Source organism: Homo sapiens, chromosome 2 (assembly GCF_000001405.40).
Source record: "Homo sapiens chromosome 2, GRCh38.p14 Primary Assembly".
In the NCBI taxonomy this organism is placed as follows: Eukaryota; Metazoa; Chordata; class Mammalia; order Primates; family Hominidae; genus Homo; species Homo sapiens.
In genome coordinates, this window is record NC_000002.12 from 8,513,960 (window position 1) to 8,530,124 (window position 16,165).

At 50.7% G+C, this 16,165-nt stretch overlaps 9 annotated features.

Moving 5' to 3' along the window:
* Positions 1,139-1,248: an enhancer, noted in NCBI's record as "active region_15259". NCBI's record gives its function as "activates an Ori minimal core promoter by ATAC-STARR-seq in GM12878 lymphoblastoid cells {active_cell/tissue: GM12878}" and the evidence as "EXISTENCE:reporter gene assay evidence [ECO:0000049][PMID:35858748]".
* Positions 1,449-1,498: an enhancer, noted in NCBI's record as "active region_15260". NCBI's record gives its function as "activates an Ori minimal core promoter by ATAC-STARR-seq in GM12878 lymphoblastoid cells {active_cell/tissue: GM12878}" and the evidence as "EXISTENCE:reporter gene assay evidence [ECO:0000049][PMID:35858748]".
* Positions 7,086-7,145: a silencer, noted in NCBI's record as "silent region_11124". NCBI's record gives its function as "represses an Ori minimal core promoter by ATAC-STARR-seq in GM12878 lymphoblastoid cells {active_cell/tissue: GM12878}" and the evidence as "EXISTENCE:reporter gene assay evidence [ECO:0000049][PMID:35858748]".
* Positions 11,071-12,792: a transcriptional cis regulatory region, noted in NCBI's record as "candidate enhancer chr2.183 targeted for multiplex CRISPR interference". NCBI's record gives its function as "positively regulates ID2 gene expression with high confidence in K562 cells {active_cell/tissue: K562}" and the evidence as "EXISTENCE:mutant phenotype evidence [ECO:0000015][PMID:30612741]".
* Positions 11,275-11,344: an enhancer, noted in NCBI's record as "active region_15261". NCBI's record gives its function as "activates an Ori minimal core promoter by ATAC-STARR-seq in GM12878 lymphoblastoid cells {active_cell/tissue: GM12878}" and the evidence as "EXISTENCE:reporter gene assay evidence [ECO:0000049][PMID:35858748]".
* Positions 11,395-11,504: an enhancer, noted in NCBI's record as "active region_15262". NCBI's record gives its function as "activates an Ori minimal core promoter by ATAC-STARR-seq in GM12878 lymphoblastoid cells {active_cell/tissue: GM12878}" and the evidence as "EXISTENCE:reporter gene assay evidence [ECO:0000049][PMID:35858748]".
* Positions 12,246-12,435: a silencer, noted in NCBI's record as "fragment chr2:8666335-8666524 (GRCh37/hg19 assembly coordinates)". NCBI's record gives its function as "represses an EF-1alpha promoter that drives an FKBP-Casp9 reporter gene in an ReSE screen in HepG2 liver carcinoma cells {active_cell/tissue: HepG2}" and the evidence as "EXISTENCE:reporter gene assay evidence [ECO:0000049][PMID:32094911]".
* Positions 12,385-12,444: an enhancer, noted in NCBI's record as "active region_15263". NCBI's record gives its function as "activates an Ori minimal core promoter by ATAC-STARR-seq in GM12878 lymphoblastoid cells {active_cell/tissue: GM12878}" and the evidence as "EXISTENCE:reporter gene assay evidence [ECO:0000049][PMID:35858748]".
* Positions 12,455-12,524: an enhancer, noted in NCBI's record as "active region_15264". NCBI's record gives its function as "activates an Ori minimal core promoter by ATAC-STARR-seq in GM12878 lymphoblastoid cells {active_cell/tissue: GM12878}" and the evidence as "EXISTENCE:reporter gene assay evidence [ECO:0000049][PMID:35858748]".

A 16,165-nucleotide genomic window follows, 5' to 3' on the forward strand; every position in this document is an offset into this window, starting at 1 on the left:
GGAGAGGGACGTGCCACTGCATTTTATAGGGCTCACTGACAGCCACGAAGGCATGGGTTTGAGGAGGAACAGCCAGAAGGAGACCACCTAGGTTGCTCCTGCAGGAGGCCAGGAGACAGAGGGTGAGGCGGGACCCATGTGGGGCAGCGGGGAGGGGATGAGAAGCAGAATTAGGATGGCGCTGAGGGAGGCGGGATAGCTCGGACTCAACATTGCTTGGACATGGTAGCAAGAGAGACCAGGGAACCTAGGATGCCTCCCTCACTGCTGGCATGGGCCAGGGGAGAAGGGTGAGCCCATCCTCTGAGCAGGGAAGCCAGGTGCCAGCACAGGCAGAGCCAACTTCAAGTCACACAGATCTCATTCAAACCCCACTCTGCTGTCTCTTAACTGTCCAACCTTGAGCAAGTATCTTGGCCCCATCTGTAATCTGGAGATGAGGACAGTACCAGCCCCACAGAGCTGCTGTGAAGATCCCATGAGGAGGTACATGCAAACCACTGGGCACGATGTCTAGCACTCAACAGACACTAAATTGATCACGGCTGTCATTTAAATTAGCCACATAAATGTGTTTCATTCTTGGAAGGTCACGTATTCCTCACAGCGTATGGTGCCCCAGTCTTTCCACTACTGCTGCATTTTGGAGTGTCCTCTAGCTTTCAACCATGGATAATGAGACCTGCAGATAAGCCATTTCCAAACTCCCCTAGTAGAGCCAGGCACCCCATCCCCATCCCACAATTCTCACTGCCTGGTCCTCATTTCTGTGCTCACCTCCTTCCCTTCATGGAGGCTCTCAGGCAGAGCTGTGTGACCTCCCTTTCCCTCTCCATCTGTCTGTGCAGAGCTAGCACGGGAGGGCTTGGCAAATGTTTATTTACTGAGCAGGAGTTACCAACTTTTCTCCCAGCTGATGATTTAAGTACAAGTTTCAGTATGATTCCTCCAGTAGCCGACCAAAGGCGGATTTTAAACTAAGAAACACACCTGTATTTAGCACACCAGGGGATTCACCAGTTCCCCTGGGGCTGGTCTTGGCACAGTTTCATCCAGAAAAAAACCACCAGAGGAACCTTCAGCACATTAAACACCCATAGGCAATATGCACTGTGTGGGGGGTCAGGTGCTCATTGTCTCATTTCTTCCTCTGCCCATGAGGTAGGGTGTGTGAGCCCCATTTTACAGATGAGCAAACTGTTGGTAGGCAAGTCTACTTTGCTAAAGGTCATGTCGCTGCCGCATGTTTATCTGCATTTGAGACTAGAAAAGCAATTGATGTCTGTTCTAGGAATTAGGGACACTGGTGCTGAGAACACTTAAAAATAGCCCCGTGCATTTTCCCATTCTTGAAACAGGTTTACTAATCAGGAACGCAGCTGAAAAAATCCAGCAAAATGACTCAGTTCCAAGTAAAATGTCATTTCTCCCCCATCACTTTGGGACAACCCCAGCAAAGCCAGCACAGCATAGAAACAGAAAGAGAGACAGCAGAGAGGCCAAGAGGCAGAGAGGAGAAAAGGGGAAGAGGCCACATGGGTGGCTGCAGGGCCTCTCACAGTGCCCTGCAGCCTCAGTCAATTCCGGGGGTGCTCACAAGGCTAAAACGCTGGCTGTAAAATCAAGGGCAAGCTGGAGGGCTGGTTTCCTGTCTTCTAAATATACTCCTGTTCCGATGGTATCTCGTCCCCTGCGTCACGAAGGAGGGCTGCCCTTGACACTGTGAATGTCTCAGGAACACCTCAACCCAAAGGAAGCTGGGGTGTAGAAAGCTCGAGGTTCCTAATACCTTCAGGAACAGCACACTCAGGTCCTGCTCAGGCACTGGGCATGGCTGCCTCCTGCTCCTCTTTATCCACCCTCCTCCCCCTCCTCCCCCTCCTCCCTCTCCTTCCTCCCTTCCTCTTCCCTATCTTCCTCCTCCTCAAGGTCTTCCTCCTTCTCCCCCTCCTCTTCCTCCTGCTCCTCCCTTTCCCCTCCTCCTCCTCCTCCCCTTCCCCTCCTCCACCTCCCCACACAGAGCACCTCAAGCCCTCCAGGTGGGCAGTAACTGTCCAGCAGAGCTGCTGTCTGTGAATGTTATCAGAGGAAACACTTCAGAACTGAGAAGCAAACAGAAACCATTCTACACCTGCTGTCGCTCCACTTCCTCTGGGCCCCAACCTCCAGCCAGGTGTCCTCATGGGAAGAAAGGGCCCATTCAGGACTGCGGCTAGTGGTTCCCAGTTGAGTTCCTCCAACATGGCAGGAAGAAAGGAAGACACAGTAGGAGGCAGCAGAGCCTTGTGGTGAAGCCTAGGGCTCAGAGTGGAGCCCACCTACTGCCCATGCTGCATGTCCTGGCTCTGTGACCTTCGGGCAGGCTGTGGTTTATCATTACTTGTAATTTGTAACATTGAGTTACAAATACTGTGACTAGTTCAGAGGATTTATGAGGATGAAATGAGTTATCTGCTTAAACCACATAACATAGTGCATGGCCCTACACTTTGGGAGCTGGCGTGCCTGCCCTGAGCCCCACGCATTCACACTGTGTCATTTTTACAGCTGTGCCACCTGCCTCCTCACCTTCACCCTCCACCCCTCACACACCCTTCCAGGGTACCCCGATCCCGCAGGCTGCTTCCCATCTCTCCCTGAAATGCAGCCCGTCCTTTGGAGAGCCTTCCAGGACCTTTTCCCACTCTTGTGCACGCTTGACCATCATCAATTTAGTGATCTTTTCCCTAATAGATTTCACGTTCTCTCAGGCCCAGAGCCATGTCTAAGTAACAGTGACTAGTGGCTATGTGAATCTATTAATTCTCACACCTAAAATAGAACTCCACACAAAGGAGGTGCTCAATAAATGCTCATTGAGCAATCAACAATAACGACCAAGGCTCAGAGAGGTGAAGTAACCTGCTCTGTGTCACAGAGCTTGGAAGTGGCACATCTGGAATTCCAAGGCCAGTCACACCAAGGCAGGTCCAAGTCCTACTGCCCCTCAGCATCCTCCTCCCGTAGACGGTGATGCACCTGGGGGAGCAGAAGCAGTAGTTCCCAAGTCTACAGTGGAGCAAGAGGCTCAGAAATGGAGATCTCGGAGCTGCCCGCGTACAGCCTGGAGTAAAGGACACGCCATGCTGCCATTAAGCACCATTTCAGCCCCTCGTTGCCTGCACAGGTCCAACACGGAGCAGCTTGGCTGGGAGGCAGAACGGCAAGTAAAGCCTCCCTCCAAACAAGCCACCCCGCAAAAGGCTTGAAGGAGCACCCGTATTCAGAGACCACCCACTTTAATACAGATAATACTCTAGTAGCTTATATTTATTGATTTCCACACCTGCTAGGGACTGTTCCCAGCATGTGTGATTAAGAGTATCTATAATCGCAAGGCGCGGTAGCTCAGTCCTATAATCCTAGCACTTGGGAGGCCGAGGCAGGTGGATCACTTGAGCTCAGGAGTTCGAGACCAGCCTGGGCAACAGGGTGAAACCCCATCTCTACAAAAATACAAAAATTAGCTGTGTGTGGTGGCACATGCCTGTAATCCCAGCTATTTGGGGGAGCTGAGGCAGGAGGATCACCTGAACCTGGGAAGTGGAGGTTGCAGTGAGCTGAGATCATGCCCCAGTACTCCAGCCTGGGTGACAGAGCAAGACTCGGTCTAAAAAAAAAAATATATATATATATATATATATATAAAATTATTTGATCCTCGTGGCAACCTTACAAGATGGGCACTGTCAGCCGCCATCATCAGCATCTTACAGATGGGGAAACTGAGGTGGGGGAGAGAAGCAAGTTGCCTAGTGTCCTGAGTATCACACTGCTAGAAATTCCTGCAGCCTGGGTGCAGGCAGTGGGGCTCCAGTATCTGTACTTTTTACCAGTTTGCCACTCTGTTTTGATGTGATTTTTTTTTTTAATGTTAAAGGTGAGGTGGGGATAAGTTCCCAAAGGTGCTCATTGAGTCCCACTGTTGTGGAGTCACTTTCTGTGGAGTCCTCATGACAGGCCCTGGAGGCAGGAGACCCGGAATCACCTACTCCCACAAGCCCATGCCGGCCTGGCTCAGCCATGCTTTTAGAAAGTACTCCCAGGAGGCTATTGCAACACTCCAGGGGCATCCCCTGACATCCCTGCACCTGCCTGGACATCCTGTCCTCTCCTCCTTTCTTCCAGCAACTTCCTGGGTCTCAGGGAGGGGGGTGGGATTCCAGTGGGGTGCGGGAGTGGGAAGCACTCCATCCGGGCCGAGGGAGGAGTCATTTCCCAGCTCCAGTCAGCACCTGTTTCTCCGCCTCTGGCCCATGGTAGGAAGGGAGCTGCCAGGCATCCCGCCCTTGAGGCCTCTGAGCGAACGAGAGCTGGTTCACAAGCTCGGAACCTGGAGGCTCAGAATGCGGCGGCTGCTAGCTGTGTGACAATGGACAGGTCACTGAGGTCCCTGGCAATGGGTGGGAGGTCGTTAGCGCTCCTTGCCAGGATAGCCTCTAAAGCCCTTCCTCGGGGGACCGGTCAGCACATGCAGCCTCAGCCCTCTCCTGCCTCAGAGTGACATCACTGCCTTCGGGGCAGCCCCCTCACCAAGCAGCCTGTGTCCCCTTAGTCTCCGTAATCCTCCAGCCATCAGCCACTCTGCCCTAGCTCTCTCACAAACATTGGGGGGTTTGGCCAACAGGTGTAGTAGCAGAACACCAACATCAGGGTGCCCACCCCACAGCATCATTATTGCTGAGTGGGAGCATCTCTTTCCAGATGTGCACTTATCAGTCTCTCATTGGTAGTTCAGAATCGGGATGGGAGAGAATTAACACCACAGACGTGGGAAAATGCTATAACTTGGGGCTTTTTATTTTTGGTGGGGAAGGGTGTCAGTTGTTAAACATTTACCAGCATTTCCCTGCAGCCCAGGGTAGCAGGCAGAACAGGACCCTAGCTTACACCCGCCATGTCCCTCCCTATCCTCCTCTTCATCCCAGGAGCCCAGCTAGGGACCGGGGGACTTCCAAATAGACAGTGCCCTTTATGATGGTGGGTGGAGTTCACACGTCATGGGGCCAGAGCACTGGGACACATGCGTCTGTATCCCAGCCCTACCATTGTCATGGGGTCTCTAAAACATCATCCCCAAAGTCACAAAGCTGCCCGACCTCAGTTTTCTCATCTGCAAAAGGAGGCTTGCTGGAGATAGCAAACAGAACAGAGCCTGGAAACTATGATGCCAGCCTCATACCAGACACTGCTGTTTGTGCAATAGCCCACTGTTCTAGTGCTTCCCCAACCTTTCCACAAGTTTTTCTTCCTCCTAATTCACTTTGATCTCCACGAGCTCTTAGAAAATCACCCAGTGAAGTGTGCCTAAAATTTGGCAAACCCAAGAACAAAGAATTGCTTTTCACAGAAGTGCTTATAAGACATGCCCAGCTCAAGACCAAACTGTGAGCTAAAAGAGAAATCACCCCTTCAAGCTTGTCACGTCTCCTTTCACAACTGTGGCAACTGAGGCTTGTTCTAGGCCGCAAACCAAAGTACCATAGAGCTGAAACAGAAGGAGCTAGTGTCACACGTTGAAACTGGGAGAAATGGCTGCTTTCCACAATTTACCCACCCGAAGTGTGATGTGTTTCTGACTCAAACATTTCTTGAAGAATTAATTTTGCACAAATTGACTTTAGCCATCCAGCACCTGTTGGTGTCACCTCCTCTGCTGGGCTCTCTGGAAAGGCCCATTTGCCCTCTCCTCTGTCAGATGGAAGAGTTAGAAGGCATTTTCAAAGCTTCCGTGCATCCAGGGGTCTGGATAAAAGTTAGCCTGCACCAAACAGATACCTTTAAAAGGCAGTAGTGAGGTGGGTGCCCTCTTCCTGCAGTACCTGACCGCTGCTGCCACAGCGTAGGCACAGAGACATAGGGCTTTCCAGCAATGACAGCCCAGGGTCCATCCTCCAGTTCCTGGGTGTCTTGGTCTGGCTTCCTAATCCCCAGATGGCAGTTTTGAGTGCTCCTTTTCCATCAGAAGCAGACGCAGCAGCAGCTTCTTGCTTTCAGGTCAGCCCTAGGAGCAGCCTCAGAGGTTACAGCTCTCCCAATGTCCAGTTCTATATTCTTACAGGAATGATTCCAGAAGCCCAGTTTAAAGCCTGTTTCTTTAGGTCTTCCATTCCCTGTATTAAAGCCTTTTCTGTTTAACACACCTAGAGTGGTTTCTGTTTCCTGCAAAGAGGTCTAATACATCTATTCTTAGGTTCCCAGATCTAGGCAATTTTCATGCTTTGTGAATTTAAGGAATGGCTGCCCGAAAAATCTATGAGTCTCTGTAAAGTCCTTCCTGGACCCTACAATCATCTCCAATACATTGTCAGTAAAATACTGAAGCTCCACCTTCCTTGGGCCTTTCTATTAAGAAGCATCTGAACTTACACTATGCTGGGCTTTCTCTTACGCACACAAGACAAATAAAATATACACTGATACAGTTTGATCCCCTATAAGGAAAATTTTAGAGGCTCACACTAAAGTATGCCCCATCCAAGACTTTGAGTGGACAGAACCCCCTGTAGACTGATAAAAAGCTGGAGTATCATTCTCCCTTTGTAAACTCTTATAGCTCTATTTTAAAACCAGGGCAAGGCCAGGGTCTTCCATGCCTGGTCAGCAGAACACAGCTTTGAGTCCAGCCACGACATGTCCCCTCCTGCAGGGTCATTACAGGTCACTCACTAATGGAGAAAGACTTGGGGTGGTATTAGCTGGGACAATTGTCCTCTGCTCCTCTTTAGACTCCATCCACATGTGCAGGGGTACAGATCACCCCCTCAACCACCATAAGTGAGATCACTCTTAGGAAAAGCAAAATCCCATGTTCCTTGGCTCTCTTCCGAATTCATCCCAGTCATCTGATTTAAGAAGTAATTTCAGATCATCTTCCCATTTCTGCTTCATGTTGTATCATCAAAAACACGTGTCCAGTTGGTTAGCAGAATCAGAAACATACATCAGTCTCGATAGTAGAAGAGGCAGGGATTTTCCTGAGGAGTTAGTGTCAACCTCTGAAAGATGAGGCAGCAAGAAAATCACAAACACTAAGAACGTGCTTGCAAAATGGGGGAACTAGGCTTTTCCCAGCTCCCTCCCCCACATCCTCCTCTCCCTATGACTGGCTGGCCCTGGGCCCCTGCAAGCCCCACCCCTACCCTCAGCCCTAGCCCAGACTCTAGGGCAAACCCAGGGAGCAGAGACGGGGTCTCCCTCCCCCACCCCATCATCAGCCCAGACTGCCCAGGCTTGCAGCCCATGTGCCCATGGACTGGGCCAGGGGAGCCCCACAGGTGGCCTTGCTCTCTGCAAACAGGAAGCTCAGGGCTTGCCCTAGACACTGTCTCCTGAATCAACTCTCAGTCTGGCATATTTCACAGCTTTCATTTCATTATGCTTTAGTAGACTTTTAAATAAATTTTTTCATTGAAAGTCATATATACATGATTAAAAAAAAAAAGCCGGAGCACAAAAAGATATATAATTAAACAGGAAGCCACGTTCTGTTGTCAGATCCAATACCCTACGCCCCAGAGGTAATCACTTTCAAGAGTCCTATAGGTTCCCTTCCCAACAAGTCATCACATGCACAGGAGGGGCCATTACATGCACAGGACCAACAGCTGCTAATTTAACAGATTTTTCAGACTCTCCCTCCTTGCTATTATGTTTAGAAAGCCAGATCTTTGCTTTTTCAGCCTTCCTTGCAGCAGGAGATGGGTACGTGACCCTATCCTGGCAATGAGATGCACAGGTGAGTTAGCCTGTGGCAGGGAGACAAGGGGCCAGGTGGCATCCAGGAAGCTCTTACTTTCCAGATTTAAAAAGAAAAAACAATGTGCCTGGCATTGGCCAGCCCCTTCCTCTTTTCTCATGCTTGGGTGTGATATTTGGAGCTGCAGCAGCCATCTTGGGACCATGGGGTAAAGAGTGTCGGGATAAAAAGCCAACACATTTTATGAAGGCACAGCAGAAGAGAAAGAACCCAGATCTCTAAAGACATTGTTCAGTGGATGAACACATACCCCCGGCTGCTAACCTCCATACATGGTGTTCCATGAGAAAAATAAAGCTCAATGTTTTAACCAGTGCTGGTCAGGTTTTCAGTTACTTATAGAAGAACCCATCCTAATTGATACAATATAGAAGCATCATTAGTGAATTTAATTTTCTTCAAATGGGTGCAGACTGGACAGTGCCCTGCACTTTGCTTTCTTCACTCAGCATGCACCTTTGCAATGTTTCCCATACCCATTCACGTAGGCCTAGCTCATTCTCAGCTGCTTCAGTTTTCTGCTGCACAGAACACATTATAAATAAAGCTGACATCCTACCAATGCACATTTTTATTGGTTGCTTCCAATTTTATCCTACTAAAACGAAGGCCACAAGAAGCATCTCTGTATCTACAACTTAGTGCACTTGTTTCTCTCTGTACAGTAATTTGTGGAAGAGGCAGGCCAGAGACCTCGCCCCTGGCCCCTGTCTTTGTCCCCTGCTCACTCCACGGACTGGGCACACTGAACCCTCCTTGGGTCTCCTGGGCCCACCATTGCCAAGGGCTCACATCTTGATTCCCCTTTTTCTCTACTCACTCTGCTGCCCATCCTGAACACTAGGACATCTACTACCTTGGCCAGAGCCTTGGGTTCCCCTAACCTACATCTCAGTTTGGGTAAGTGGCCTTGAGCTTCTTCCTCGGGGACTGAAACTAAGGCTTGCTCTCATCTGGCTCTCCCTGCAGCCCACTGCTGTCACCCAACCTCACCCCAGCACCTGGGTCTGCTCCCCAGCCCTGCACCATCCACCCCTTTCCAGAACCTGCCCCTTCCTGTTCAGATGAACAGGCCCACATCAGGCCGACTGCCAGGCAAGCTCCCACAGGAAACAGAACAAGCAGCCACACCCCACCTATAACCAGGCTCTGGCCCTGGTTTCAGCACCTGCAACCCACCCCAGAAATTCACACCAGAAACCCAACCTCACAGCCCAACCAAAATCCCATTTGCCACCAGAAGCTGACAAATGCCATTGCTGGGTAGAGGGACACACCAAGATGGAGGTCAGATATCTAAGAACACGCAAAACAGGCATGCAGATTTATGTACCAGCGAAAGCAGATGCATGGAACATTCCATCAGATCTGACTGGTTTATGCTCACCAGCCTGTGCCCAGCCAGCCAGGGCATGCTAAGAGCTGAAACACGCAGGGGAATGCTGTCAGCACAGATGTGCAGGTGACATTTTCAGGGTAAAATCCTGTCTTCTAGGGCAAAAAGCCATCTTCTCTGGCTGGCAGATTCGCAAGGCTGCTTGCATCCAGGCCACAGCCTGCAGTTCCCCCTCCAGCTCACTCCTCTTCACTCATCCCCACCAGCCAGCTACACCCAGGTCTTAGGGAACATCCAGAAGGCAGCGTCCTCTGAGACCACCTGGTCCAGTCCTCTGATTTTACAGATAAGAAAACTGAGGTCCAAAGAGGTCAAAAAAGTCACCCAGTTGCTTTGTGACAGGGCCAGGGACACAAACACTAAAGCCACCTTCATTGAGCACCTCCTCCTATGCTCCCAACTCTCCTTTGAGATATGTAGCATCGCTCCCTTTTCATTGATCAGAAATTGGAGGTTGATAGAGGTCAAGGAACTAGCTCCAGATCACACAGCTGGTGAGGAGCAGAGCTTGGGTACAAACCAGCCAGACAACCCTCCATCCAGGACTCCATCTGCCCCAGCTTTACTAAGGAGGCTTACATCCCCATGACACCACTCCTAGGACAAGAATGAAAACTGTGGGTAAGAGAGGAAGAGAGTGTATGCATTCACCAAAGGGAGGGTTATTATTAAGCAATGAAAATGCGAAAATAGTGTCTAAAACAGAATCTTGCAGGTGTTCAGCCATCTCCTTAAGCAAGGAAGTGCTCACAAAACAATGGATGGGAGCACATCAAAGGGACAATGGGGCCAAGCATGAGGCTCACGCCCCGTGGAATCCCAGCACTTTGGGAGGCTGAGGCAGGAAAATCACTTGAGCTCAGGAGTTCAAGACCAGCCTGGGCAACATAGTGAGACTTCTCCTCTACATAAAATCAAAAAAATCAGGCAAGCATGGTAGCACATGCCTATAGTCCCACCTACTAGGGATGCTGAGGTGGGAGGACCACTTGAGCCTGGGAATTCGAGGAGGCTGCAGTGAGCTATGATCTCACCATTATACTCCAACCTGGGCCACAAGAGTAAGACTCTGTCTCAAAAAAAAAAAAAAAAAGGAGGGGGGGCACCCAGATCCCGAAAAAGCTCCCAATGGCCAAAGTTGGAAGAGTATGAGCAACAAACTACTATTGGATTATAACCCAGAGAATACAATAAGTACCTATGAGCCAACATCGATATAAATAAATGATTGAACAAATAACAGGAAGAAGAGACAATCCACCCTTAAAGAAGAATTCCAAATAATTTATGTAGTTACCCACCTCTCGAAGAGGTGGAGCATGACTTTCCCTGCCCTCAGGTGTGGGCTGTGTTTGGTGACTTGCTTCCCAAGGGCAGGTCTGAGAAAGGAGTGGGGGAGGAGAGAACTTTGCTGGGAGAAACCCAACAAACACAGCTCAGCCAGAAGCTCAAGGTCATTGGCTGCGATCAGTCCTGTTGATAGGCACGCACCCTTGATTGCATACGATAAAAATGGCACTTCACCTCTGTGGGCTTCTCCCGAGAACCCGTAACCGCGGTCTAACCATAAGAAAAATATCAGATAGCCCAAACTGAAGGGCATTCTACAAAAATACCTGGCCAATCCTCACGACAGCTGTCAAGGTCATCCAAAACAAGGAAAGTCTGAGAAACTGTCATAGACCAGAGGAGGCCACCAAGATGTGACAACCAAATGCAATGTGGGATCCTAGAGGGGAATCTTGGGACAGAAAAAGGCCTTAGGGAAAAACTAGTGCAATCCACATAAACCGTGGCGCTTAGCTGAAAGAACCAACCAATGTTAGTTCCTTAGTGGTGAGGAACGTGCTAGGGAGATGCAAGCTGTCACAATGGGGAAACCAGTGAGGTGTGTCCAGGAATCCTCTGCGTTATCTTTGCAATGCTTCTGTAAATGCACAGCCGTTCGAAACCAAAGGTTGCTAGTTTATAAATACACCGAGATGAGATGTCCCACTATCTTGCTAGGGGAGTCGTTCCCAACTGACCACCCATGAGACTGGTTGGGGAGATTTTCAAAACTTTTCAAAGGCCCTGCCTGGGATGAAGTGAACAAGCATCCCTAGGCCTGCGGCCTGAGCATCAGGACCTTGACAAGATCCCCTGGTGATTCTACCGTGCATTAGGGTTGAAACCAGTGGCCAGGGTAGGACAGGAGTTAATTGCACAGGGCTTCCATGGAGTAAGATGGAGCTGGGAAAGGATGCTGGAACTCTTCAGGCTGCAGGAGAGCTGCATGGAACGGACTGCCGCCCCTCCCCGCATTACCTCTGAAGGGCTCCTTGTTGGAACCTGGACATCTCTCACTCCCCTGTCCTGGGTCAGCCGCTGCTGGCGGGATCAGGTGGTGGAAGGGTTCAAATTTCCCTTGGGTGTTAAAATGCAAAGTGACCCTAACCAGCCAGGAAAAGAGCAGGTGTCCTCTTTCATCCAGCTGGGGTCACTGTCCCCTAAGGGGCCCCAGGCTGGTCCTTCCTGTCTCACTGAGGTCTCAGACCTCATGCTCATTGGGACTTGGCTGAACTCCAGGCCGTCAGCCCAACAGCGCTAAAGCTACAGCCAAGCCGCAGAGAGCCGTGGCCTCCCACGCCCCACGTTGCTGGGCAGAGAAGGGAAGCATTTCAGACAGGCAGGCTGGCCCCTGGCCAGCAGGTCTCCAGATGCCATGCAACACACACCTGAGCAGGGTAAGAGAATAGGTGTGTGTCAACAGTATTTGAAAAAGAAAATAGCTGCACAAATACAGCACTTGTTAACACAGGTGTTTACAGGTGGAATTATTTTTCCAGGGCTGCTATCTCCCAGCCTTCTTTGTGCTTCTCAGCTCACACCTGCAGGGACTTTCCTACGAAGCCAAGGCACAAAGGGGAAGTGGATAGTCCGTATCGATTTTACCACGGAGGAGGTCAGCGATCAGCTTCAGGCCTGGCTAGTTTTCACAGTTTCCCTTGCTGGACTCACTTCCATGTTTTCAACCTGCTCTAACAGGATCTGGCCTGCGCTCCACTTCCTGCTTGGCTAAGGCAGCTGCTGTGACCACCCCAGGCAGTCACAGCAAGAAGCCATTTCCTGGGGCCAGGGCACGCTGGCTACTCTCGGGACATAATTATCTATCTGGTCCTTGTCTCCTCTCCCCCAGGAGAGGCTCAATGTTTGTATATTACAGATAAGGAAACTGACACACTTGTCTGAAGTCACAGGGCTAATAAGTGGAGGATGTTGTGCCGACATCAAACCAGGGAAGAACCCAAAGAGGCAGCTGCAAAGGGCTCCAGAAGTGTCTCCAAGATGACCCCCCCACCACCACCACCACCGCCCACACCAGGAGCAGCAGTGCTCTCTGTGGGACACCCAGAAGCACAGACATTCAACTTAAAATAGGATCTCATAGAATAAAGCAGTCCGTCAGGTGGTAACAAGTCCCAAGGTATTAAAAATTATAGAAGAGAAACTTAATGCCTCTGAACAGCACACTTACAAATGGTTAAGATGGTCATTTTTATGTTACGTGTGTTTTAACACGATTTTAAATTTTTAATTGACACACTTATGAAAGAGAAACTTAAAATGGAGAACGTTCTATTCCAGAGGGAGACCTAGCCAACTTGCATCACCAATTAGCCTGTTTTTGGTAAATGTACCCACTTTTTGCATTCTGAGAGAGAACTCTGTCCTCTGGAAAGACTTTCTCTTAGATGAGCCTTTTAATTCATGCAGATGTGGGCCGGAGTATTTGAGTATTTCCCGTTATATGGGGGAAGCACTAAAAGGTGAACTGCCCTAAATGCAGATTTCTCAGTGTGAGGTTTTAGGTGCTCTGCTTCACATGTAAAAGGCAAGACAGGGGACAGGAGTGAAGACAAGGTGGGGAGGGAACAGAAGAGCAGGCCCTGCTCCCCACCCCCAAGGCAGTGAGGAAACACCCCCACCAGCACCCTCTAAAAGGTTGGCACAGCAGGCAGGCTCCAGGAGGGGATGTAATCCTCCTCAGTAAAGCTGTTGAAGATGGCTGCCTGGGGACGCAGGGAGGGGCTCAGTCACACTTGGGGAGAGGCCAGACTGAAAGAGCAGGGCCAGCAGAGATGCTGAGATCCTCTCAGCCAGAGGCCACTTGTGGAAAAGTCCAACGGTACAATCTGGGCAGGAGGTGACAAGGGGCAAGCAGGGTGGACTGACTCCCAGGGTGCTCAGAGAAGCCTGGCAAGGTCCGAGTGTGCTGCAGGCCCCCGAGATGGCAAGTGGAGAACATGGAGACATTTGCCATTGGTAGCTTTTGATGTCCTTGTTCCTACAAGCCAGGGGGAAATGTCATGACTTGATTTTGGCAGCGAAACCCTTCAGCCCAACTTGAAGAGCAATGAGGCTTCCAAAAATGTTAAGAAACATTGCTCCATTCCAGCCTTCCTCCTTCACCTCCTCTCGCAGACTAGCACCACCTGTGTTCCAAGTCACAGATGAAGAGTCCGAGGGTCAGAGAGGCGGGGTGTTCACAGGAGGGTCTGTGGTTTGGAGGCTGTCCCGGGTTGAAGCCCAGGTGTCTTGGTTCCTAATGTGAGTCTTCCATCCTCTATAACACTTTTTCCCAGGAAAAGGAGTTTCCCTGAGAGAAGGGGGGAGTCTGGCCGCCTCCAAATCCCTGCTGGCTCCTCCAGAGGCCACCTCCAGCCCTGCCTCTCCCTCTGCCTGGCAGACGAGCCAAGGAGTGCCAGTACACAGGCTGCAAGCCGCTGGAGGCCAGTGACTACAGGGCTGGCAAGGGGAGAGAGAGACTTGAGAGAGGATGAGATTTTCAAAGCTCACCACCAAGAAGTTGAAAGGTTTTCCATTTGAACTATGGCAAGTCTCTAAAAGATGAGATGGTGTCTAATTAGACATTATTTTACATCATTCAAATTAAGATGACCTCATATTATAATTACAGATCTGCTACATTACTTGGAAGTAATCAGCATGACAGGCTATCCTCTCTGCCTACCCTTTTGGAAGCTCCAGGCTTCACACTGACCTTCTCCTGCTCCTCCACCTTCCATCAGAGATTGCCCTTTGGAGGGACAGCATCTACCAGAGTCCACACAGCAGCAAGCAGAAGCCTCCCCAGCACGCATCTCCATCCAAGAGTGGAGATTCGGTGAGCATCTGTGCACCAAGGACATGGGTCACACAAGGAGACGGACCTTTCATCAAAGGACATTATTCCTCTTACTTTCCATCAGTCCAGGGATCCCCTCTAATGGGCAAAATGTCCCCCACACCCATGCTCATACACACACACACACACACACACACACACACACAGGTACACACAAACACGCACAAATACAACACACCCACAGGGGCAGTTCTATGATACAGACTTGTGTCCAGTTTTAAACCTCCACCCACCCACACACAGGGCCCTGTCTTCTGAGCCCTTCTCGCTCCAGGGCCAGCATGTTTCCGGCACATCCTCGGTCCACTCGATGTGTATTCACCTGCCAAAACCTGAAACGTACAGACACATTCTCAGCTGAGCCTTGCACAAATGATCAGCTCTGGTTCCACGGGACTGGCTCTCACTTGAGCACCCAGGTTGAGCAAACTATTTCTGTTCCCTCCGATCCTGCAGTTTCACCTGGGATGACAGCCACCTGGGCCATCACTCAGAGGCACCCCCAATAACAAGCAGGCCGGGCTACCCAGGCAGCAGCCACCTCTCCAATGTCAGGGACATTCTGCAGCTCCCTCTGACTTAGCACTGCTTCATGTCTCCTGGCACCAACTTCCCACTCCATGATGGGTGACATTAGCACCCATAAATAATCTTGAAATAAAGAGAGATAATTAATATTTAGCTTTGCCAGAGGGAAGCACTTAGGTGAAGCCATCTTGTAGTCAGAGGGGCTGATGCTTGTCAGCTGGAGGGCAGGACTAATGAGATGCATCAGGCGGTGGTGACAAGGAGCTAAAAAGCAGCTCCCTGGCTCCAAAGTGACTTCCACAGGACAAACAGACTCCAAGAGTGCAGGCAGATGTGAGCCCGCACACAGGCGGTCTTCCATTTCCCACCCACATCCTGGGTTCTAGGGACCTGTGATCAACTTCAGGCCATCTGACTAGGCTTGAATACCCCCAGGGAGGGGGTGTTCACTTCCAGTCCACTAGCTTTGGGACAGCAGAAAAGAGAATTGGGGCTTTGGTATCTTAAAGGCCTGGATTCAAAGCCCATTTGCCCCTAGACCCACCCCTTCTCCCCCATTCTGTGCCTTCTTTCCTGGGGAGGCGTCTCAATGCACACACAGCATCCTCACCAGAAGCCTGGGTACCATGCCACCTCCCCCTCACCCTCAGCCCCCACAACCAGTCCATTGCCTGGCCCTGGAGAGCCTGCCCCCTTCAGCTCAGGTATACGGGCCCCAGGAAGACCACCTGCCACCACCAGTCGTCATCAGCTTTCTCCTGCTTTTTGCAATGGCCTCCTACCTGGGATCCTTCCTCTGGTCCACCCCTCTACTCCTCCATCCCAAAAGCCATCCTCCAAACTCCTCTCCAGGAAAGGCTTCCAGAATACATTCCTGACCACACACTTTCCTACAGAAAATTGCCACGTGCAGGACAACTGCCCGACTCCTCAGTGCCACCTCCCGAGAGCTCCACACTCAGCCCCAACACCTGTTCCTGCAGCACCTCCAACCCCAGCCCTGCCCCATGCGTGTATACACAGGAGTGCACATCCACATATGTGTGCACCTGCGCACACACACACAAATACCCTCTGGCCTGTCTGCTGCCAGCTGCTTCAACCTCCAACAGCTGTGCCTGCGGTCATGCAGCCAGGCCTAGATCCAACTGTGCCTGGATCATGCAGCCAGGCCACTGGTCAACAAGTCACTATCCACTCCTCAAGTCTCAGTTTGCTCATCTGTAAAATGGGAAAGATAAAATAATACCACACC